This window comes from Homo sapiens, chromosome 1 (genome assembly GCF_000001405.40).
Source record: "Homo sapiens chromosome 1, GRCh38.p14 Primary Assembly".
Taxonomy (NCBI): domain Eukaryota; kingdom Metazoa; phylum Chordata; class Mammalia; order Primates; family Hominidae; genus Homo; species Homo sapiens.
In genome coordinates this window covers 245,603,286-245,628,450 of record NC_000001.11, presented here as the reverse complement: position 1 = coordinate 245,628,450, position 25,165 = coordinate 245,603,286, and the positions used below count along the sequence as shown (strand labels likewise).

Genomic DNA, 25,165 nt, shown 5'->3' with positions numbered 1-25,165 from the left:
GGATGAAGCTGACTTCATCTTGGCTAACTGCAATCTCTGCCTCCCAGGTTCAAGTGATTCTCCTGCCTCAGCCTCCCGATTAGCTGGGATTACAGGCACCCGCCACCATGCCCATCTATTTTTGTAATTTTAGTAGAGACAGGGTTTTGCCATGTTGGCAGGCTGGTCTCGAACTCCTGACCTCAAGTGATCCACCTGCTTGGCTCCCCTAAGTGCTGGGGTTATGGGCATGAGCCACTGTGAGCCACCGTGCCCGGCCAAGTTTCCTTTTTCTTGTTGTGTCTCTGCCAGGTTTTGGTATCAGGATGATGCTGGCCTCATAAAATGAGTTAGGGAGGATTCCCTCTTTTTCTATTGTTTGGAATAGTTTCAGAAGGAATGGTACTAGCTCCTCGTCGTACCTCTGGTAGAATGCGGCTGTGAATCCATCTGGTCCTGGACTTTTTTTGGTTGGTAGGCTATTAATTACTGCCTCAATTTCAGAACTCGTTATTGGTCTATTCAGGGATTTGACTTCTTCCTGGTTTAGTCTTGGGAGGGTGTATGTGTCCAGGAATTTATCCATTTCTTCTAGATTTTCTAGTTTATTTGCACAGAGGTGTTTATAGTATTCTCTGATGGTAGTTTGTATTTCTGTGGGATCAGGGGTGATATCCCCTTTATCATTTTCTATTGTGTCTGTTTGATTCTTCTCCTTTTCTTCTTTATTAGTCTAGTGAAGTGGTCTATTTCCTTAATTTTTTTTTTCAAAAAACTGGCTCCTGGATTCATTGATATTTTGAAGGGTTTTTCGCATCTCCAACTCCTTCAGTTCTGCTCTGATCTTATTTATTGTCTTCTGCTAGCTTTTGGATTTGTTTGCTCTTGCTTCTCTAGTTCTTTTAATTGTGATGTTAAGGTGTCGATCTGAGATCTTTCCAGCTCTCTGATGTGGGCGTTTAGTGCTATAAATTTCCCTCTAACACTGCTTTAGCGGTGTCCCAGAGCTTCTGGTACATCGTCTTTTTGTTCTCATTGATTTCTCCCTTAATTTTGTTATTTACCCAGGACTCATTCAGGAGCAGGTTGTTCAATTTCCATGTAGTTGTGTGGTTTTGAGTGAGTTTCTGAATCCTGAGTTCAAGTTAACATTGTTAAAATGACCATCCTACTCAAAGCAATCTACAGACTCAATGCAGTCTCTGTCGAAATATCCATGACATTCTTCATGGAATTTAAACACACAGAGAAAAACCTTGCACACAAAGCAATACTGGAAAACAAAGAAACAAGCTGGAGGCATCACACTAGCTGACTTCAAAATACACTACTAGGAAGCTACTGTAACATAAAACAGGCTGGTATTGACGTAAAAAGACACATAGACCAATGGGACACAATAGAGAACCTACAGATAAATCTATCTATTTACAGCCAACTCATTTTTGACAAAGGCACCAAGAACATGCATTGGGGAAAGGACATCCCCTTTAATAAATGGTGCTGGGAAAACTAGATATCCATAAGCAGAAGGGTGAAACTAGACCGCTATCTCTTACCATATATAAAAATCCACTCAAAATTTATTAAAGGCTTAAATATTAAGACCAAAAACAATAACTCTACCAGATGAAAACATAGGGGAAATGCTTTGGGACATTGGTCCAGGCAAAGATTTTATGGCTAAGACTTTGAAAGCACAAGTAAGAAAACCAAAATTAGAAAGATTGGAGTATGTTAAACTAAAAACGTTCTGCACAGCTAAGGAAACAATCAACAGAGCAAAGAGACAACCTGCAGAATGGAAAAAAAATATTTGCAAGCTGTTCATTCAACAAGGAATTAATATCCAGGGAACTCAAAACAGCAAAAAACCCAAACAAACCCATTAAAAATTGGGCAAAGGATCTGAATAGACATTTCTCAAAAGAAGTCATACACATGGCAACCAGGTATGTGAAAAAATGTTCAATGTCCCTAATCATCAGGGATGTGCAAATCAAAACCACAATGAGATATAATTTCACCCCAGTCAGAATGGCTATTATTAGAAAGACAGAAAAAAAAAACCCACCATGAAATCTAGTGAAGATGCATAGTAAAGGGAACTCTTACACACTGTTGGTGGGAATGTAAATTAGTACAGCCAGTATAGAAAACAGTATAGATGCTTCTCAAAAAAAAACTAAAACGAGAACTACCATATGATCTAGCAATCCCACTACTGGGTGTTTGTCCAAAGGAACAGAAATCAGTATATCAAAGGGATACCTGTACCCCTATATTTATCACAGCTCTATTCGCAACAGCCAAGATACAGAATCAACCTAAGTGTCCAACAATGGATGGATGAATGGAACGGGACCAAGAAAATGTGCTCTGTATACACAATGGAATACTAGCAGTTATACAAAAACTCAAATCCTGTCATTTGTAGCAAAATGTGCTCTATATACACAATGGAATACTAGTAGTTATACAAAAACTCAAATCCTGTCATTTGTAGCAAAATGGATGGAACTGGATGTCATTATGTTAAGTCAAATAAGCCAGGCACAGAAAGACAAATATTGCATGTTCTCACTCATATGTGGGAGCTTAAAAAGTTGATCTCATGCAGGTAGAGAGGAGAATGGTAGATACCAGAGGCTGGGAAGAATGTGTGTGTGTGGGAAGGGGCGGGATGTGGGGTGCCGGGGGAGGGGGATAAAACAGGTGGGTTAACAGTTACAAATACACAGTTAAATAAAAGGAGGAAGCCGTAGTGTTTGATAGCACAGTAGGAGGCTATAGTTAACAATAATTTATTGTATATTTTCAAATAGCTAGAAGAAAATAATGAAATGTTCCCAACACAAATAAGTGATAACTGAGGTGATGAATCTCCTAAATTCCCTGATTGATCATCACACATTGTATGCGTGCATCAAAATATCACCCATAAATATGTGTAATTATATATCAATATAAAAGAAATACATGTTTAAATAATAGCTTTTTCCTACTTTAAAAAATTACTGAAGGGAACTAATAAAAACCTAAACTAGAGAGAGATACTGTGCTCCTGGGTCAGAACACTCAATACTGTGAAGAGGTCAATCATCTCCAAGTTGCTATAGCTTCAATGCAATCCCAATCAGAATCCTGGTAGACTTCTTTGATAGAAATTTTTTCTACGTAATCCATTTAGAAAGCGACTCTAAAATTTGTATGGAAATGCCAAATACACTGAATAGCCAAAACAACTTTAAAAAATAAGAACAAAGTTGGAAGGTTAACATTACCTAATTTCAAGACCTATTATACATCCACCATAATCAAAACAGTGTGGTATTGGTGTAAAGATAGACAAATAGATCAATGGAACAGAACAGAGTCTAGAAATAGTTGCACATAAATATGGCCAACTAATCCTTGACAAAGGTAATTTAGTAGAGAAATAATAGCTTTTTACAACAAATGATACTGGAAATTTTGGATACTATATTCATACACACACACAAAAAAACACCTAACCTCCCTCAACCTGAAAAAAACTACTTGAGTCCATACATTGCAAAATATACAAAAATTAACTAAAAATTGATCAAAGACCTAAATTTGAAGCCTAAAATTACAAAACTTCTAGAGGAGGCATAAGAAGAAACCTTTTTGGCCTTGGGTTAGGCAAAGATTTCTTAGATGTGACAGCAAAAACATGATTCATAAAAGAACATATAAATTGGACTTCATAAAAAAACAAGTATTTGTTTTTCAAAAGATGCTGTTGAGAATGAAGAGAGAAGCCACAGACTGAGAGAAAATATTTGCAAATACTATATCTTATAAAGGATTTGCATCCAGAATATATTAAAAACTTTCAAAACAATTTTTAAAAGGACAGAAGATTTGAAGGGACATTTCACCAAAGAAGAGGTATGGATGCCGAATGGGCGTGTAGAAGGATGCTTGGCATCATTGGTCATTAGCGAAGTGCAAACTAAAACCACAAGACACTATTACAAACCTACTATGTAAACAGGCAAAACTTAAAAGACTGACCACACCAAATGCTGGTGGGGGTATGGAGGAACGGGAACTCCCCATATAAAATAGTACAAGCACTTTGGGAAACAGCTGAGAAATTTCTTAAAAAGTTAAACATCTACTATATGGTACAGCCATTCCAGTTTTTCTTTTTTTTTTTTTCAAATATTCCCAGACATTGATAAGATTCCAGTTCTAGTATAGGTTTTTACCCCAAAGGAAAGAAAATATATGTCCATATATATATTAGACTGTTTTCATACTGCTATAAATAACTACCTGAGACTGGGTAATTTATGAGGAAAATAGGTTTCATTGACTCACAGTGAAGGAAGACACATCTTCCCATGGCAGAGCAGGAGAGAGAGCGAGTGAGCAGGGGGGAGAGTACCACACACTCTTAAACCACCGGATCTCATAACTCACTATGATGAGAACAGCATGGGGGACATCCATCCTCATGATGTAATCACCTCCCACCAGGTCCCTCCCCCAACACTGGGAATTACAATTCAACATGAAATTTGGGCGAGGACAGAGCCAAACCATATAACCATACAAAGACTTGTGCATGTATGCTCACACAAGCTGAATATCCCTTATCTGAAATGCTTGGAACCAGAGATTTTGGAGTATTTGCATATATCTAATGACATATCTTGGAAATAGGACCCAACGTAAACATTAAATTCATTTATGTTTCATATATACCTTATATACACAGCCTGAAGATAATCTTAGACAATATTTTTGATAATTTTGTACACAAAAAGTTTTTCCTGTGACCTGTCACATGCGGTCAGATGTAGAATTTTCTACTTGTGATGTCATTTGGCGCTCACAAAGTTTCAGATTTGGAGCATCTCGGATTTCGAATTTTCAGATTAGGGATGCTCAACCTTTAGTACTTTTATTTGTAATATCCCCAAACTGGAAACAACAGAAATGTCCATCAAGAGATGAATGGATCGGCCAACTGTGGTATATCTGGGCAGTGGACTATTATGCAGAAATATAAATATATGAACTATTGATACAGGCAATGAAATGATTACATCTCAAAATCATTATGCTAAGTGAAAGAAGCCACACACGAGAGTACCGTCTGCAAGATATGTTTCCTTTTACATAAAATTCTAGGAAATCCACACTAATGTCTAGAAACTGAAAGTAGTTCAGTGGTTCCTGGGTCTGGAGACAGGAAGGAAGAGGAGCTGGAGGCAGGGATTGCAAGGCTCCCGAGGAAACTTTTGGGGGTGAAGAATATATTCATTATCTTGATTGAGGACGGTTTCATAGGCATATACATATGATAAAACATCAAGTTATATGATTTAATATGTACAGTTTATTGTAGCTCAGGTATATCTCATTAAAGTTGTTAAAAAACAACAAAAAAAAAAAAAAAAAAAAAAAAAACTTGCTCACGATCCTGCAGCCAGTAGTAGAGCTAGGATTCAAACCACAGACTGACTGCAAGACCTGAGCTCTCAACTACATCCTGCGGCCTCCATCAGCTCCACGAAGCAGCCGGAGAAGGCCGCCTTTTTGCCCCAGGCCCCACTCTTCCAGAGAGGCGTGTCTCTGGGTACATCACCCACTCCTTGGCTGTCTCCCTTCCCCCCGCCTCAATCCCAGGCAGCAGCGGAATGCTGCTCCTCCAGGCCTCTGGATCCCTATCTTTCCAGGCGGCCCAGCTTACAGCCTCATACCTGGCCTGCCTCCTGTTACTGCCAGGACAGCAACTCTTCCCTCTGCCTTTCCCTACTCTGCACAGAAGGAAAATGGCAAAGGCAGAGATGGAAACTTCCCAAAGCTGTTGTGGAGGCCAAGTAATTTGGGGCAAGATTGAAAGGTGTTGGTACAAAAAGCGAGCAGAGCGTGTGGGACCCGCGTGTGTCTGGACCATTGCAGGTGGCACTCGGGGTGCGTGGGAGGGATCTAGGCATCCACGCGTCTGCAGAAGAGCCCGAAGGACAAGGCTGATGCAGCACTGCTCATGCTGTAGGATGAAAATATTCGGCAACCACTGTCCTAAGGCTAATCTGCCTCCACCCCTTCCTATCCTCAAATTCCATATCTAGTACTGAGAAAAAAAGGTGAGAAATACTTAAAGAAAGCATTGCAATTCCAGCTCTCCAGCTACTGGCACGTCTATGGCAAAGAACTTTTTACATTAAGGATGTTATATTTTGTTTCTCTTCAACTATTCCCAGTAAAACCCCTTTAAGGGGAAGATATAATGTGTCACTTCTGTTTTATGCTATTTTGTACCCTGCAAGCTTGGGTCACAGCAGCGTGCTATGGAAATAGTTATTTTTAAAGCAAAATATCATCTGTTTTGCAGCCTAATTATATAGACAGGAGAAGCTCAGATATTCCACATGCACCACAGATTAAAGGGCAAAGACAGAGACCAATTCTGACTCTAACAGTCCATTTGATGTAATGGAATAAAATGGATAATGTACATGTAGTAAAACAGAACACAAGAACAAAAGGCACAGTTTAGACTGTGCTGAGGATGATAATATAAAATACCTATAATTATACCTGCGTGACTCAAAGTAAGAGTCACATTTAGACAATGGAAAATCTACTCTCTGCTCCGTGCCTATTGGAGTTGCCGTAGGCACAGAATTGTGAATTTCACACATGGTGCTTAACTTGAAATAGTACAAGGTGAGTCAGCACAGGCCACTTGCTATTATCAAGAATTTCCATCACTTCCGGCGGCTGGGGAGAAAGTGTAGTTACACAGCAAATGAACACAATAGGTGATAATTAATAGCAGGTAAGAAGCAGGTTCCTCACTGACTTTCCAGATTTTGAGGTCAAGACTGCAGGGTTAAAGGAACACAACTCAGTCTGCCTTGAGTAATCCTTTAGTTATATTCTAATATGCAATATTTTAAGTCTAGACTTTGACCAAACCAAATTACCCACATGCCTTATTCTACCCACAGGAAACAATATAATAACGTCTCCTACGCCTGAGCCACACTTTATTAAGCACCTGGAAGGTAGCAGGAAATCCTAAATTCTCCTAATATCACTTAATTCCTATAATATCCCACAATGCAGAAATTAGCCCCATTTTACATATAAGGAAACTGAGGCTCATAGAAGTTAAATAAATCACCCAAGATCTCATAGAAAATTAATGCTAAATCTAAGATGAAAATCCGAAGCTAACCAGAAAGCATGCAGAAGCTCTTTTAACTCGCCTTCCCGCACCGTCGTAGTTCCTCCCAAACTTTGCTGCCCGTTGGAATCACCCTGGAATCTTTCAAGAAATATTGACGTCTGGTTCCCACTCCCAGCCTTTCTAATTTAATTGGGCTGGAGGGCAGCACGCACTCTGGGATGCGTTTAAAAGCCCTCCAGGTGAGTCTAATGTGTAGCTAAGTTTGGGAGCCACTGCCTTACCACCTGGCCAGGTTCAGCAATGCTCTGGGTCACCTGCATAAGAAGTTCTGCCTGACGCCCACAGCACGCTGAGGGCTCGTGGTTAGTGGAGGCTGTGGTCTAGTTTGTGCACTTTTGCTCCAAAAAGAATCAGCTGCATAGTTCTTAATAGGTCAGCTGTGTTTCCTCCTAAATTGGTTTCTGCCCCTTGTTATTTTAAATAAAAACATAAAATACTGTATAAGCCAATGAAATGATTTTGTAAAGAGAGTTAATGTTTTTATAAAAACTCAACTCAATGCTTTGAAAAGATGTGATAAAAAATGAGGATTTTTTGGACGGGTACCATGGCTCACACCTGTAATCCCAGCACTTTGGGAGGCCAAGGCAGGTGGATCGCCTGAGCTCAGGAGTTTGAGAGCAGCCTGGGCAAAATGGTGAAACCCCATCTCTACAAAAAAATATAAACTATTAGCCAGGCATGGTGGTGCGCACCTGTTGCCCCAGCTACGTGGGAGGCTGAAGTGGGAGGATCACTTGAGCCTGGGAGGCAGAGGTTGCAGTGAGCCAAGATAGCGCCACTGCACTTCAGCCTGGGTGACAGAGTGAGACCCTGTCTCAAAAAAAAAAATTTTTTTTAACGATGTTGAATTTTGTGTGAATGAGGAATTATAGAGTGGAAAATACTGTAAGAATCTAGAAAAAGTCTATACCCAGTTGGTTGTAAAGTGTTTTTTTAAGCTCTTAAATCTCTTTGAAGAAATTCAAAGCAAAAACTGAACTGTTAATACGAATGTGGTTCGTGGAAGTCAAATTAATTGAATTGAAAACTCAAAGAGAGAGCCTTGGCCCTTTGTGGTTCGTAAGATCAATGAATAAAAATACATTTGTATTATTTAATTTCAGATAACACCTTTATGAATACATCATTTTCTATAATTCCCCCTCTAACATACTTGCCCAGTCAGCTGACTGCCTCCTGACTCTGTTGCGTTGTGAGGCTTCTCTGACCTAATACCATCTGCTTACGTGAAAGGTAATTGGGTGGTCTTACTCTTCCCGAATCACAGCTCTACTAGATAACACAGAGATTAATTTTTATTTTATTTTTCATTTTTTGTTTTTGAGATGGAGTCTTGCCCTGTCACCCAGGCTGGAGTGCAGTGGCGTGATCTCAGCTCACTGCAAGCTCCGCCTCCCAGGTTCAAGTGATTCTCCTGCCTCAGCCTCCCGAGTAGCTGGGACTACAGGCGCCCGCCACCATGCCTGGCTAATTTTTGTATTTTTAGTAGAGACGAGGTTTCACTACGTTGGCCACGCTGGTCTTGAACTCCTGACCTCAAGTGATCCTCCGGCCTCAGCCTCCCAAAGTGCTGGGATTACAGTGTGAGCCACCACGCCCAGCCCAGAGATTCTTTTTTTTTTTTTTTTTTTGAAACAGTTTCCCTCTATTGCCCAGGCTGGAGTGCAGTGGCGCCATCTCGGCTCACTGCAACCCTGTAACCTCTGACTCCTGAGTTCAAGCAATTCTCCTGCCTCAGCCTCCCAAGTAGCTGGGATTATAGGCACCTGCCACCACACCTGACTAATTTTTGTAATTTTAGTAAAGAGGGGGTTTCACCATGTTGGCCAGGCTGGCCGAGGTGGGTGGATCACCTGAGGTCAGGAGTTCGAGAGCAGAGAATCATTTTTAAAACCACAGCACACATTTCATTTGGACAAAGGAGACCTGAGCACTGACGCAGCGGACACAGCCCCAGCACTGTGGCACTCTGTCTCAAGGAACCCATAGTCTAATAGGGCTTGGACAAGCTCACCAACAGCACGCAGCAGACACAGCCCCAGCACTGTGGCAGTCTGTCTCAAGGAACCCATAGTTTAATAGGGCTTGGACAAGCTCACCAACAGCACGCAGCAGACACAGCCCCAGCACTGTGGCACTCTGTCTCAAGGAACCTATAGTCTAATAGGGCTTGGACACTGATGCAGTGGACACAGCCCCAGCACTGTGGCACTCTGTCTCAAGGAACCTATAGTCTAATAGGGCTTGGACACTGATGCAGTGGACACAGCCCCAGGACTGTGGCACTCTGTCTCAAGGAACCTATAGTCTAATAGGGCTTGGACAAGCTCACCAACAGCACGCAGCAGACACAGCCCCAGCACTGTGGCACTCTGTCTCAAGGAACCTATAGTCTAATAGGGCTTGGACAAGCTCACCAACAGCATGCAGCGGACACAGCACCAGCACTGTGGCAGTCTGTCTCAAGGAACCCATAGTTTAATAGGGCTTGGACAAGCTCACCAACAGCACGTAGCAGACACAGCCCCAGCACTGTGGCACTCTGTCTCAAGGAACCTATAGTCTAATAGGGCTTGGACACTGATGCAGTGGACACAGCCCCAGGAGTGTGGCACTCTGTCTCAAGGAACCTATAGTCTAATAGGGCTTGGACAAGCTCACAAACAGCACACAGCAGACACAGCCCCAGCACTGTGGCACTCTGTCTCAAGGACCCTATAGTCTAATAGGGCTTGGACACTGACGCAGCGGACACAGCCCCAGCACTGTGGCACTCTGTCTCAAGGAACCTATAGTCTAATAGGCCTTGGATACTGACGCTGCGGACATAGCCCCAGGACGGTGGCACTCTGTCTCAAGGAACCTATAGTCTAATAGGGCTTGGACAAGCTCACAAACAGCATGCAGCAGACACAGCCCTGGCACTGTGGCACTCTTTCTCAAGGCACCTATAGTCCAATAGGGCTTGGACTAGCTCACAAACAGCCAAAATATAAGGCGGAGTAAGGCAAAAGCATAACATCCCCCACACTGCTGAAATTCAAAGAAGACATTACAAAGAGGGGAATCTGACGTCTTTGTTGAGGAGGCGATCGGAGAGGAGCGTGGCAGAGGCAAGGTGCCATTGTGGTTCCTTTCCTTTCCTTTTCCCTCCCTCCCTGCCTCCTTCTCTTCCTTCTGTAACCCTGACTTTGGTGGGAGGAAAGGCTGAAAACATAAGCATGAAAAGACCACTGAGGGGGTCCCAATTGGTGAGGTCCCAGAAGAGGCAGAAGGGGCAGGAGGAAGAATGCCAGGAGACGGGAGCAGCAGGCCTGTGGGAAGGAGCAGGGGGGAAACTGAGGTAAAGGGACCAGGAGACTATGAAACCAAAAGAAGAGAAGTTGAGGAATGCACCAGGTCAGCTCTGTCTTCTCATTGACTAAGATGCTAGTTACCTGCTGAGAGTGGCCAGGAGGCTTGAGAAGATTAGAAACGGAGGCGGTGATGGGAATTCCAGGCTGCACTCTTCAGAATAGTGTCTCCTGGCCAACATTTAAAAACATATAGATTACAAAAACCTAAAAAGATGAAACTGCCACTTCATTATTGACCAAGCGGGAGATGAGAGCCCTGTAGTGTGTGGACATCCTTGCTGCACAGGGCTTCGCTGCTGGGGACAGCAGGGGACTGGCTGTGGCTCCATTAGAAGCAAGGTTCTTTCCTAAGCCTCTTTTCCCACATCTGCCACCCAAAGAATGGATCTCCAGAGTCATATCCACCACACAGCCCTAAATACAGCATTAGTTGATTTAAGCCATTCCATGACATGTAAAGAAAACATTTGCATTGTCAAAAGAAAGCAGATTAGGCTAGGTATGGTAATCCCAGCACTTTGGGGAGGCCGAGGTGGGTGGATCACTTGAGGTCAGGAGTTCGAGACCAGCGTGGCCAACATGGTGAAACCCCGTCTCTACTAAAAAACACAAAAATTAGCCAGGTGTTGTGGTGGACGCCTGTCATCTCAGCTACTCAGGAGGCTGAGGCAGGAGAATCGCGGGGAACCCAGGAGGTGGAAGTTGAAGTGAGTTGAGATTGCGCCACTGCACTCCAGCCTGGGTGACAGTGCGAGACTCAGTGTTAAAAACAAACAAACAAACAAACAAACAAAAAAACAGATTAAAGAGTCTGATGAGATGTGTAGACAGATGAGTGTAGCACAGATGTGTGCCCATGTGCACATACATTTGTGTGCGCACACAGCAGCCCAGCCTACAAAGCCCTCTAATCCTCCCCACAGAGGCAATAAAGAGAATGAACAAATCAGAGACCCGGTGTCATTGTGGACCTTGAGCAACAGTTGCTTGCATGCTTAGATTACTCATAAAAGTGGGGCTTTTGAAATTATCTTTGTCAACAGGACAGGTGCGATCTCCGTATCATTAGCGCATTACCCTGAAGTATCACTAGTCCACGCTGAGCATCCCTAACCCAAAAAATCTGAAATCCAAAATACTCCAAGAATCTCAAACTTTTTGAAGGCCAATATGATGCCACAAGGGGAAAATTCCACACCTGACCTCGTGAGGGGTTGCAGTCAAAATGCAGTAAAAACTTTGTTTCATGCACAAAATTATTGAAGATATTGTATAAAGTTACCTTCAGGCTATGTCTATAAGGCATATATGAAACATACATGAAATCTGTATTTAGATTTGGGTCCCATTCCCAAGGGATCATTACATATGCAAATATTCCAAAATCGGAAAACAATCTGAAATCTGAAACACTTCTGGTCCCAAGCACCACCTTGTTTTAGGTGCCCAGTACACGCGTCGTTATGAGAAGCAGCTCTCTGATCAGTAGGGCTTCAGGGTCTGTTTCCCAGTGCTGGGATTCCCGAGGAGGCTCTCAAGCTATTACAGATTTAGCTTCGCAAAGCAGAGGAAGGCCTCCATGAGGCTGAAGGATCAGTCCCACTAATTCCAATGAGCTTTTAAACAGGGAGATATTTTAAGCTTAACCTAGTGCTATCTGCAAAACAGGGATACATCAACAAAGACTTTTCTATTTTGACTGGAAATGTTTAAAACTTTTTTTTGTCTGTCTACTTATATGTGTAAAATGCATTTGTGTGTAAAATTATAAATGTAAGATGCATTTGTGTGTAAAATGTATAAAATGCATGTGTGCATATGAGATTCAGAGGCGCACACAGAGTCTATTTAGTTCTTGCGGCAGAGATCTCTTCTAATGGCTTCCCTGCAGGGTGACTAATTAATAAACTTTCCCCTAATTGAGTTCTGGCTGCCAGGTCCGCAGGGATTATTACTTATATGTAAGTAAACAAAATTTCCATTTTAAACAACCCTCCAAATCTCCTCATTATATTTTAAACAGTTATAAATTCACTGAAGTCAAGTGAGTCCCAGGCGGGGAGGCCGTGTGCATTCTGGCCGGGATCCTTTCCCCTCGGGAGGGAAGAGATGTCCCCCAGGTCTGCCGATCGCACGACCCCTGGACTCCTTCCCCTTCTTTGTTCTCATCCACTGAAACATTAGGAAGGACCTAACCGAGGTTTTGGAAACCATTCGTGGTATTTGCCCTTTCTTTTAACCTGAATGCATTATTTAAAAGCAATTCTCTTTCACAACTTAAAAATAGGAAGAAGATGAGCTGGCTATTAAATATTTAATAAGGGTGCAGGATTCCTTAGGTACTGATTTGGGGTGGATCACTGGGTTTAGGGAATGTCTTGGCCTAAACTTTTGTGGAATCTGAATTTCAAGTTCTTATATTTGAAGTCATTTAATGAACTGTTTCCTTGTTTTCAAGATTTCTCCCTACTTTCAGATTCCAAATCGAAAGCAGAACTGCAAAAAAGAAAAAAAGTACAAAACCGAAAACAGAGTTGTCCTCAGTTTGGTTTGAAACCTGGAAGGAGGAGAGATAATCCCATCTCCCAAGTTTTTCTGATCAGTGCCATTTGGGAGTCATTTGGCTCAAGGGTTAGATGTTTTGCGAGTCACTCTTTACTGAAAGTACAAGAAAGTCCTGCAGGCTCTGATGATGATGATTACTGACAGCTGCTTAAAAGAATAAACTAAACATTTGTCAGACTCTTACATTGACAGGGTGAAGACACTACCCAGGAGAAAACAGTGAGGGCAGGGTTCAAGGCCAACTCCCACACAGTCAGGAGAAATGTGGATGCAATTGTGCTGTCGATTTTAAAGGTCTGCATCTCCTCATCCCTATCCGATTTTAAAGGTCTGCATCTCCTCATCCCTATCCGATTTTAAAGGTCTGCATCTCCTCATCCCTATCCGATTTTAAAGGTCTGCATCTCCTCATCCCTATCCGATTTTAAAGGTCTGCATCTCCTCATCCCTATCCGAATGCGTTTCCTTCTTTAAGAACGTGATTCTAAACGGAAGCGCTCTACATGGTGTGAGCCTGTTACCAAGAATACATCTCCCGAGAGATTCCCGTTCACTATCCTCGGCTCCTCTCCAGTGAGACTTTGCTCACCATCATGGGCTGTCGAGAGAGCTGCCCTCAAGCTAATGGGCCACTTCCCTGGGGCGCCTCGCCCGCTGTAAGTGAGGACCAGAACCTCTCGGTTCTTCACAGCAGCCACTGGAGGCAGCTCAGGGCTGATTTTCAGAGCCATAAAAAGCAGCCCCAGTTAGAGGAACTCCAGCCCCAGCTGTGGATATTTTCATTCTGTCCTGGTGGTAGGGTAGGAACCAAGCCTCCAGGCCCAGTCAAAACTGAAGGAGAGGCCAGGTGCGGTGGCTCACGCCTGTAATCCCAACACTTTGGGAGGCTGAGGCGGGTGGATCACGAGGTCAGGAGTTCAAGACCATCCTGGCCAATATGGTGAAACTCCGTCTCTACTTAACGTACAAAAATTAGCCAGACATGGTGGTGGGCACCTGTATTCCCAGCTACTCAGGAGGCTGAGGCAGGAGAATCGCTTGAACTCGGGAGGCGGAGGTTGCAGTGAGCCGAGATCACGCCACTGTACTCCAGCCTGGGCAACAGAGTGAGTGAGACTTCATCTCAAACAAACAAAAAAACTAAAGGAGCAGGCAGAACAGGCAGCAGGAACCAGAAGAAACAAGAGACGCGTGCTGCAGCATGGGGGAGTCTCAAATGCATTAGGACACTACGTGAAAGAAGCCAGACACAAAAGGCCACATCTGGGCCACACGAGTCCATTCCCACGATATCCTGGATAAACGCAAAACCAGGACAACAATCAGATCCGTGGTTGCCAGGGGCTAGAGGTCAGGGGAAGGGACAAACGGCAAGAGGGAACTTTAGCCTTATGCTCTATTTTGATAATGGTGGTGGCTACATGACTGTATAGATTGGCCAAAACTCATCTAAAGACACATCAAAGTGATGTTTTGGTGAATGTACCTTATACTGCAATAAACCTGGATTTTAACAACAGTAACTAAAGAGTAGGAAGAGAGGCACCGAGGTGGGGGAAGGGAGGCGCTTTTGCCTGGGGACAGCAGAAGCCCGCAAAGAGCTCTCTCCCCAGGAGTACTGTTGTCCAGGTCTTTTGAGCCACGAGGAGGCTTAGGGGAAATCAGGGGGAGCCTGTCCATAGATCCCAGCTGGAAGTCTTTTTATTTTTATTTTCTGAGACAGAGCCTTGCTCTGTCACCCAGGCTGGAGTGCAGTGGCACGATCTGGGCTCACTGCAACCTCCGCCTCCTGGGTTCAAGCAATTCTCCTGCCTCAGACCCCCAACTAGCTGGGAGGTGTGTGCCACCACGCCCAGCTAATTTTTTTATTTTTAGTAGAGACGGGGTTTCTCCATGTTGGCCAGGCTGGTCTCAAACTGCTGACCTCAAGTGATCTAACCACCTTGGCCTTCCAAAGTGCTGGGATTACAGGTGTGAGCCACCACGCCTGGTCCTACTTGGATGTCTTCATTCTAGGCTTCATCTACAACAGCTTTGCGGACCATCTCTGCTTTACTCAATGAGCTTTACAATTTCCAGTCCAGGGTTAGACTCTTAACTCAGTTTTCTGATTGTTTTTCTGGCATCCAGTGTCTTTGAGACAATCATGCAGAAAGCGCTGGGAGCCAGTTGCCTGTGTATTGAAAGCCCGGCAGAGCGGGACATGGAGGAACCACGGAAGCCACTGCCCGGCCAGCCCAGCAGCCCCGTTACCCACAACCTGCCTTAGGAACCCAGTGAAATCAACAGACCACTTTGCCCCTGGTCCAAGATCCCCACTGGAGACATTCAGCTGATCTGGTGCTCAACTCTTTTGGGCATAGAGTAAACACTACTTCACAGAAGGCAGAGAATTGCACCCCAGCCCGGGCTGACTTTGGAAACACAGCCAAGAGGGGTCTGTAGGGGCACAGTGTTGGGTTCCTGGCAGGGCAGCTCACTCGAAGAGCAGGCACCGTACCTGGGTTTTGACAGTAAACCTTCACTGACGATTTGAGGGAGGCAGCCAGGGTCTGGGTAGTTATTCAAAAGTCTGATTTCTATGCTATTTTAAAAAACATGGTCCATACAGTGGCCTCGAGCTAATGATGATAACACACTGCCGGAGTGCTTTGGTGGATAAATGTTGGTCTTTCTTGAGGAGCATTTTTGAGGTCTGTGAACAAAAAGATACTGTCAGGCAGTTGTTTTCTTTTTGTAACTTTGACCTCTCACATTCTCATGGCAATGACATTTGTAAATTACCTTTACCAAAGCAAACTCCTTTCCCTGGACAGTTCAAAAGTGAACTTCAGCCCAGATACTATAATTATCTTGAATTACGAGTCACTGAACTGCATATTGTAGTCTATTAAGAAAAGTTTGGCTAGGCATGGTGGCTCATACCTTTCATCCCAACACTTTGGGAGATCAAGGCAAGAGGATCTCAAGACCGGGAGTTCTAGACCAGCCTGGGCAACATAGCAAGGTCCCATCTCTACAAAGATAACCAAATAAATAGCTAGGTGTGGTGGCATGAGCCTGTAGTCCCAAGCTACTTGGGAGACTGAGGCAGGAGGATCACTTGAGCCCAGGAGTTTGAGGCTGCAGTGAGCTGTGATCGTGCCACTGCACTGCAGCCTGGGTGACAGAGCAAGACCCTGTCTCTCTCTCTCTCTCTCTCTCTCTCACACACACACACACACACACACACACACACACACACACACACACACACACAAAGGTCATGGTTGCCCAAGGGATTTCTGGCTGGGGCCAGAGCCGCTAAGGAGGCAGGAGGGTGGAGTGGCCGACTTACTTCCCCCTTTCCCGCTCTTCTCCATCCGGTACTGGTAGATGTGCAGTGTGAAGAACACGTGTGAGTTGCGGTGGTCGTCCTCATCACAGTCCTGTTGGTGGCTCCTGCGGGAGGCAATGGCGGCATCCAGGAAAAAGGCAGCCTTCTCTGCGGTGGGGGCCCGCAGCTCGCTCTGGTTCTGCAGCTGGAAGACAGAAGCCAAGAGATGAGGCTGCAGGCTGAGGAGGGCTTGCTGTCACTCATGCCTGGGTGTCCCCAGCACCATTCAGCTGGCTGTGTGTTCTGTATAGTAAAGCCACGTGCCCCTCTAAGGCTGAAAACCCTTCTGAAACAAGGTGCTATGCTCATGTGCAATTCTCAGCTTAATTAATTCATTTCTGAAAATTAATATTGAGCATACTTATTGGATGAAACCTATTTTTACCTACTTTACAGTCTAAGTAGAATCTGGAACTAGTGGGTGTGAAAAGCTGGGAGCAGATGGCTCATCCTTATCTCTGCAGAGGGCGGCAAACCAACACCCCTGGCTATCCATTTACCTAAGAAAACAGGAGCGATGTGACTGCATCTTGAGTCCAAAGATTAGATTGTTTGGAGACAGGTAGGTTGCAAAATGTGATTTGAGGCCTCATAGCAGTGGTGTCCCAAAGATGTAAAAAAACTTGGTTAGCTTTCATTTGACTCCTAGTTTTGCAGTTATTTAATTAAAGCCAATTTTAGGCCATATTTACTAGCATAGTTATAAATAAGAAACCAGTGTAAAGGGCACCCTCAAACACTCACGATACTTGAATGTCTCATCTAAATTTAGGAGATACCTATTTACCTTTAGTTCCTGAATCCATGCTCCCGGCATACTCATTAATTGATTAAAGAAAGCACACAGGGTAATGCGTCTGAATCTTATGAAAATACTTGGCAATTATTTTAAACCTGAATCACAACGATCACATTAACAGAATTGAACCAGCACTCCTCTTTTTGGGGAGAAAAGGCAACTCATGTTTCTGATTTGTTCAAAGAACTAATTTGCAGTACATGTCTTAAGGTTGGTACAAATTCTGACAATTTTCTACTCTAACTATACAAATAATTTTGAACTGTAAGAGCCAATATTTAGAACCTGAGGCCATCAAAATCCTCAGACTTCAAAGAGAGATTCTTTTGTGTTCAAAATTTTGTCTCGCTATGGAAAAATAAACCAAAGAATTTAAAAGATTTTTCAACAAGAATTAAAGGGAATATTGGTCTTTTCTTCTTTTTCTTAGCCTTCATTTAACCAGACTTTTCACCCCTTAGTGGAATTTCATCAATGAAGTTCTAAAAATGAATGGGGGTGAAAGCATATTTGAATGTCTAGAAAATGCCTGGAACAGGAGCAGTGGGTCGAGTCCTACTGATTGCATCACAGACACTGTGTAGATACTGTCTCTGCACATTTGATGCCTCAGAACAGTGATTTCCAACTGTGATCCCTGGACCGGCAGCATGAGCATCTCATGGGAACTTGTTGGAAATGCACATTTTGGAGCTCTACTCTAGACCTACTGAATTGGAAACTCTGGGGGGGTGCCCAGCGATCAGTGTTTAAACAAGTCCTCGAGGTGACAGATGCAGACGAAAGAGGACTCAGGGAAATGGAGGGATCTGAGGTGCTTTAAGCAGGGGAAGAGCATGGTCAGGTTTGAGTAATGAGTATAACAGGCCACGGGAGGTATCCTCACCTGTGCAAACAATCCCAGTTGGGAAGAGGCAGGTACTTATCAAACGGAACACCTATCTACAAAAGGAGGCATCTGACAACACGGGAAAATAAAGCCTACTGTTAGAGACTGGAAGGATTGATTATTCTGGATATGAATGAATTGCAGCTCCCGGGTCATTCCTACATCTGTTGTCAAACAGCAAAGGAGAGACCCTCCCAACAGGCTTAGCATCCTGAAATGGTGAACTGGAGCTTCTCTTGGCTTCCATAGTTCTAGCAATTATATCACGGTTCTAATTAGAAAGTGGTTATTAGTTTTTCCTGCAGCACTGCTAATCCGGCTGTAAACCAGTGCCAGAAGCACAGTTTATAGAGTCATCAACAGCCCCGTAATGGCTCTAGCTATTTGTGCAGAGCAGTAAATATTCCGGTTTGTTGTTAAACAAAAGAAAGATTGTTACTTTTTTTTTTTGAAAGGGGCATAAAGAAAGTGAATTCCATTTCTCCCCCAAATGCTGTAATTGTGGTCCCTGCTCATTGTCAATTAGAGTCAAGGTACAAATATTTAGACTGGGCAAGCCGATGGCCCCACAGCTGCAGGCCATAAAGTTCCAGTCCACTTTAAAGTAAACACCCGTAAGCCTCTGAGTTTACAGGTTCAGTGATTCACGGGTGGAGCTGCCCCAGCCTCTGAGGTGGGGAGGGAGCCACCTTGGGGCGAGCCAGGCTTCAGAAGCAATCACCTGCGTGCCGCAGATGGGGTCCTCACAGAGGTACACGCCCGGGGACTGGCCGTCCTGCAGGCTGCCCGTGGCCACCTCCGACAGCAGGTCCCGCAGGTTCTCCTCCTTCCCCCACACTTCCACGGCGGAAACCCGGACTGAGAAACGGGCGCCGGTCTTTTCCTTGCGTTCGTTTATGAGCTTGAAGAGCCAAGAGATGGCACAGGGAATGATGCCCAGGTTCTGCATGGAATCATCCTTTCCGATCATGGTGTAGGATTTTCCTGGGAGAACCAGGGAAGGAAGAAAAGCAGGTTCAGTGTCCAGGCATCATTCCACGGAGTCTCCAAAATAGATGCCAAGGATATAGAAGAAAGGCACAGGGAAGGGGGGAAAAGGGAAGAGAAGGAACAAAAAGATGAGAGAAATAGTATTTGACAACAACAGAAGGCATTTTCTGGTATTACTAACTAAATGGCTACAATAAAGAATGCTGGTTGGGCTCAGTGGCTCATGCCTGTAACCTCAGCACTTTGTGGGGGCCAAGATGGGAGGATTGCTTGAGGCCAGGAGTTCCAGGCCAGTCTGGGCAACATACGGAGACCCTGCCTCTATGAAAAATTTTTAAAAATTATCTGGGTGTGGTGGGGCATGCCTGTGGCCCCAGCTACTTGGGAAGCTGAGGCGAGAGGATCACTTGAGCCCAGGAATTGGAGGTTACAGTAATCTATGAGCATGCCACTGTACTCCAGCCCAGGCAACTGAGAGCCATCTCTTAAAAAAAAAAGAAACAAAGCAAGAGCCCAGACATGTGACAAGATTAAATCACCATGTACCTTGAGGAGGACCCCAAATATCACATGCTATCCAGTTCCTGCACTGCTTTACACACAGTGGGAAGGCTGGGCTTTTTCATCATCATTATGGTTCTTTTTATAGTTACCCCCCAGATTAAGTCCACATATTCACACTTTATATCCTGTCTCAAGTTAAATGCTGTGTATATTTTTATGGCATGAGCAAATTCTATTAAAACCCAGATCACTGCTTACATCAAGATCAAGAGAAAGGGCTGGGGAGGACGGAAGTGCAGAGAGAGGCAATGGCTTTCTGTCCTGGCTGAGAACTGGCCTCTGTGAGCTCCAGCAAGGCCTCTGTTGGAATCTCTGCCAAGGGACAGTTTTTGAAGCTCCTCAATTCACTAAACATATCAAGCGTGTAAGGGCAAGGCCTGGGGAGCAGATGGCCACAGGTCAGAAGTAAGATGGGACTGTGGGGGGATTTATGAACCCCTTGTTGGGGGGCTCTGCTGCCTCCTTTCCCAGACGCTTCAGCGCTGGAGTGTTCCCGACGGTGTGCACTGCTTTCTCCAGACGCGCCCTGGGCTCTGGGCTTTGCTTGGAGGTTGCTCCTCTGGCTTTTACAGGGGTCCAACCACCAACCCACATCCTCATGGGTGCGGTGGTGCAAGGGGCCCTATCTGCTTCCCAAACAGCGGCTGCTCAGGAAATGAATATTTTCCTGCCTGCCTTCTGGGCTTGACTCTGACCTGGACCAAGTGGGAACAACTCTGCTACTTCTCTTTCCATCTATTTGGACTTGAAGGCTTTCCTACATGAATGGGTGTCCACCTACAATGAACAACATAGGTTTTCGTCGTATAACTTGTTATTGGTTATTCAGCTCAACACCTAAGAGAAACGCAGCCCTTCCTGTCATCAGAGAACTCTGGGAGGGAGACAGAGGAATGCATGGGATGACAGGGAGCTCAACGAGCCGCATGAGAAAGTGAAACTCTCACGAACCCAGTTTGGCGTGGCCGAAACAGAACACGCAGCCATCTGCCCCGTTGACCACAGACTGGATCACCTCTGCCACGGTGCCTGCACACACTTCAGCCTGTCAGACACAAGAGGAGACACGAGCCGTGAATGGACCTCGCAGCGGAGACACCACTAACAACGAAAGTGAGCCCACCTTCCTGGGGCTTCGGGTCCCAGTGTCACTGTGTTCCCAGGTGGGTTGGCCTCTGTCGTGAAGTTTTGGAGATGCTCAGAACCCCTGGCGACCTTCCGCCCTTTGCAAGCCTGAGCATTATGCACATGCACTGCAAACCACCCTTCTGCTAATCCGTGGTACGTTTCAGCGAATGCGTCTGTAGAGCAGGCAGGAGCAGGCTGGAATGGGGGCACAGTGTGCTCATGAACCTCATTCCCTTCCCTCATCTGCCATTCTGGGGTCCCGGATAAGGTCTTTAAACTCTCCACTCACCCTCTGCTGACACACGTATACATAGAGTTTATTAAACAGGCCAGGCTTATGAGAGGGAAAAAGGTGACCCACCATTTCACAAGTGAGACCTTGAGAAACACCGTAGTTCTCACGTAAGCAAGAGGTTTGTGATATATATCTGCTTTCTCTCCTGATCTCTTTCCTCATTTTCAATTCACACCTTCCTCATTTTTTTTTTTTTTTTTTTTTTTGAGACGGAGTTTCAGTCTCGTTGCCCAGGCTGGAGTGCAATGGTGCGATCTCAACTCACTGCAACCTCCGCCTCCTGGGCTCAAGTGATTCTCTTGCCTCAGCCTCCCGAGTAGCTGGGATTACAGGCATGTGCCACCATGCCTGGCTAATTTTTTGCATTTTTTTAGTAGAGAGGGGGTTTCACCACGTTGGTCAGGCTGGTCTCAAACTCCTGACCTCAGGTGATCCACCCGCCTCGGCCTCCCAAAGTGCTGGGATTACAGGCGTGAGCCACTGCGCCCGTCCCATGCTCCTCTTTTCAAAACCTGCCTTTTCTTCCTTTTGCTACAGATACATTCAACATATAGAGTATCAGTCACCACATGGTATGTTATTAGGTGTTCTTTGGCCGGGTGTGTGTGTCTGGTCTCCAATTTGATTATTAAATCCTAGACAGGGACCAGGCTCTCGATGATGTTTTGTATTTCCCCTGAACACCCGCTAATACAGAGCTCTGCGAGCCATCAGAGCTGTCGGTTTTGTGGACTAACTTGGAGATCTGGGAAATGTCCTTCTCTTTGTTTAGCACCTGAGACTTGTCACAGAAGCAGAAAGATAGCATTATTCGCTGTGCCCTGTTGCTTTCATTTCTGTCTCGGGGCCGGAGTCAGGGCTCGTGGGAGCTCCGGGAGGCAGTGCTAACATGGGGCTTTGCAGCCCTCGGGGCAGCGTGCCTCCCGGTGGGCACCTGGGCCGTGAATGTTGTTATTCAGCAGCACAGTGAACCCAAGTATTTGGAAATCAGTTTTCTCTCCTAAACTAAAATTGAAAAACCACACTTCCAACAGCTGTCACTTGTTCCAGGGTGGTCCCCAGCAACTCTGCGGGGGGCGGGGGGCTCCTCCTGGGCCAGAGGGGGTGGCAGGACAGGGCTGCTGTAGGGCACACAGGATCTTTCAAACCCCCCAGGACTTAGGCAAGGAGAGCCCAGTGCTAACCCTGAGACAGAAGCAGTAGCGTCTTGATGGAATTTGCCAGAGGCGTGTCTGCAGAGCAGGCAGAAGGCTGCCCAATGGACTAAGCCTTCTTTGGACATAAAGTGGGATGGGAGGCAGGAGGCTGAGAAATCACCTTGAGCTATACATAAAATAAGCTGTATTTGATTCTTGAGCCACCTGGGAGAATGTTGGCTGTGTGTGGACCACACTGAGTCACCCGTGCAGAGGCCGGGGGCGAGAGGAGACCTGCTGTGCAGAGTTGGGGCGGCATCCCCTGGCACAGTTCCCACCCGGCTCTCCACTGAGAAGAGCGTGGTCAGCGGGCTGTCCATCTGGTGTGTGTTAAGAGCTGGCAGGGGCCCCGGAGGCCCCTTGCTGCTTCCCCTGGGACCTGGAGAGGCATGCAGCCTTCTCGAGCACAGCCCCCATGGGAAGGGCCAGGTCTGCAGGAAGGCTCTGCCTGCCCACAAGTCCAGGTTCTCCAGCAGGGGTGTGTCCCAGCAGAGACGTGTCCCAACAGGGGCAGCCAGCGACTGCCGAAGCCACTGAAGGGTCATATGGCTCTCAAAGGCAACCATGAAACAGGACTGTTCTAATCACTGTTTAGCTTCAGGAAGCTGATTTCCTTAGAAACGAAGAGAAAGCACAATTTCTAACTGCCCGGGTCACCACAGTGGCTGCGGCTTCACAGGCTGAAAATGAGGACTGGAGAGCACAGGCCCACTCCGCACACTCCCTCCTTTCAGGCTTGGGGGCTCCAGGGGTGCCCACCCTGTGGGGCTGAGTTTGCCCTGGCCAGCAGCATGCTGCTAATATTGGCAGTGATAACGGTAAAAATAGCCGCATTTGTTGAGCACTTGCTGTGTTCCTGGCTCTGCTGTGAGCACTTCCTGTGTGTCAACTCGAGGAATCACACGGCCTGATGAGGAACATTGTGGTCATGTCCTCACCTGACAGATGAGGAAGGACACTGAGGTCCAGAGAGGTTGAGTGACTCGCCTGAGGCCACACTGCTAGGAAATATTGGATAAAATGGCAGGAGGTCAAAGATACACCACCATACCGAGCAGGATACAGAGAGGTTAACGGGGGGAATCCAGGAAGGACGTCTGCTCGGGAAAGGGACTTTGAACAAGTGACTTCATCTTTGAGTCTCGGTTTCCTTGTGTGTCACATGAGAACATCAGTGCCTCTCTTCCTACCCCACTGAATTCTAGGAAGAGTCAAATGTGTTAATGTCTACGAAATGTCTTGAAAACTGCAAATTTATACAGACATGTAATTTATTATAACATTGGAAATGTGAATGAAAGTAAGGCATTCTGAAATGAGCGAAACTCCAGTATTGAGCATACTGAGCTCTGCAGCCGAGTGTGAAATGTAAACAAAGACTAGCAATTAAAATGGACCCTTTTTCTGGAATAAATCTAAAACGCATTCATAGTCCATGCTTGATTTAGGGTTTGCTTTGGAATTCTTACAACTTGTGGAGATTTGCTTCTGAAAAGTTTTAACTGTGTTAATGAAATTATTTGTAGGCCATTTGTTAGACCAAACGTCAGGTTTAAATTACTGAGCCCATTGGGTGATATGCCACACAAAAAATGTAATAAGGAGAGAAACCATAGAACTTATTCATAAAGTACTTTGTCTTCTTGGGTAAAACTCTTTGGGGAAACCGCATGCTCAACTTCTTAATGAATGGAGCCTGTAACATGTGCTGTGTGCCCACGGTGTAATATAGGAGCCCGTGAGAACATCGCCACCTCCTCTACTCAGATGCAGCCTGGAGGAAATTCACAGAGGCTGCAAATGGTAACTATTCGCACTGTTGTCGTCAGGTTCTGCTATAGATTATTAGTTATTATCCTATACACTGTTTAATGTAAATCTTGATAAGCACTAGAAACTTACCAGAAAGATGCAAACTCCAGGCAAAGTAGGCTATATTCTATAACCTGGGTTATTCATTTCTGCAATCAGTTCTACACGTCTGTCCCTGCTCCCTCCCCTGAAGGAACAGGTGCTGTTTCGTGCCACTTAGAGGCCCATCTTCACCAAAGCTCCAGGGTGAATCCAAAGGAGAACAGATATCTACTAGCAGCTTTAGTTGCAGCATCTGGTGAGGTCTGCAGTTCATTGGCTGCCCATGGCTCAGTAATCTTGGTACCCTGGGCCCCCAAGTAGCCTCCCAATTATGCTCATAGTAGATTAATAAAAATGGCCCCAATTCTCCACCCCAGCCTGGGTGCAACTCCCTTGCAATGTGACTTGGAGCTCGTCCAATCATTAGAAGCAATCTCTTCTCCATCTCATGAAGCTGGGCCAGTAGAATCCAGCAGAAGTGATATTGGGTCAATTCTGAGCTTAGGCCTCCAGAGACCTGCATGCATGGGTCCTGGAAACTGCCTTGAGAACTAGCCCAAGCTAGCCTGCTGGATGACGACCGACAATGTGGAAGAGAGACCAGCTGACCTGGTCAAGGCTATTCTACACCAGTGTAAGGCCAGCCAACCCCCAAAGACATGTGCCTATGGTGTGATATAGGATGATCTTATTTCGCCTGGCTGATATCCAGCCAAGATCCACAGAGCTGCCTGCCCAACCCACAGCTGATCACAGACATAAAAATGAGCTGAGCTAGGACCAGAAGAGCTGCTCAGCTGACCGATGAGCAATGATAAATGCTTACTGTATTAAGCACTGAATTTTAGGGTGATTTGTAAGGCAGCAATTCAGCGAATACAACACCTGTCCCTGAGCCTCTCTTCTTCCCCTTCACTCCACTGAGCCAGGCCACAGG

At 45.3% G+C, this 25,165-nt stretch overlaps 1 protein-coding gene across 1 annotated transcript in view, besides 4 other annotated features; it reads right to left on the bottom strand.

The window, feature by feature from the left end:
* Nucleotides 1-25,165, bottom strand: part of KIF26B (kinesin family member 26B) — a 554,448-nt gene that overhangs the window by 80,982 nt on the left and 448,301 nt on the right. Inside the window, exons 7-9 of the mRNA NM_018012.4 lie at nucleotides 20,707-20,800; nucleotides 18,923-19,185; nucleotides 16,475-16,658 (exon numbers count right to left, since the gene is read on the bottom strand). Of these exons, the coding sequence (NP_060482.2) occupies nucleotides 16,475-16,658; nucleotides 18,923-19,185; nucleotides 20,707-20,800 (541 nt within the window). The remainder of the gene's footprint in view (nucleotides 1-16,474; nucleotides 16,659-18,922; nucleotides 19,186-20,706; nucleotides 20,801-25,165) is intronic.
* Nucleotides 5,226-5,745: an enhancer, noted in NCBI's record as "H3K4me1 hESC enhancer chr1:245786008-245786527 (GRCh37/hg19 assembly coordinates)". NCBI's record gives its function as "activates a minimal SCP1, AML or CMV promoter by ChIP-STARR-seq in naive H9 embryonic stem cells {active_cell/tissue: H9 hESC(naive)}" and the evidence as "EXISTENCE:reporter gene assay evidence [ECO:0000049][PMID:30033119]".
* Nucleotides 16,032-16,532: an enhancer, noted in NCBI's record as "H3K4me1 hESC enhancer chr1:245775221-245775721 (GRCh37/hg19 assembly coordinates)". NCBI's record gives its function as "activates a minimal SCP1, AML or CMV promoter by ChIP-STARR-seq in primed H9 embryonic stem cells {active_cell/tissue: H9 hESC(primed)}" and the evidence as "EXISTENCE:reporter gene assay evidence [ECO:0000049][PMID:30033119]".
* Nucleotides 16,533-17,033: an enhancer, noted in NCBI's record as "H3K4me1 hESC enhancer chr1:245774720-245775220 (GRCh37/hg19 assembly coordinates)". NCBI's record gives its function as "activates a minimal SCP1, AML or CMV promoter by ChIP-STARR-seq in primed H9 embryonic stem cells {active_cell/tissue: H9 hESC(primed)}" and the evidence as "EXISTENCE:reporter gene assay evidence [ECO:0000049][PMID:30033119]".
* Nucleotides 21,578-22,408: an enhancer, noted in NCBI's record as "H3K4me1 hESC enhancer chr1:245769345-245770175 (GRCh37/hg19 assembly coordinates)". NCBI's record gives its function as "activates a minimal SCP1, AML or CMV promoter by ChIP-STARR-seq in naive H9 embryonic stem cells {active_cell/tissue: H9 hESC(naive)}" and the evidence as "EXISTENCE:reporter gene assay evidence [ECO:0000049][PMID:30033119]".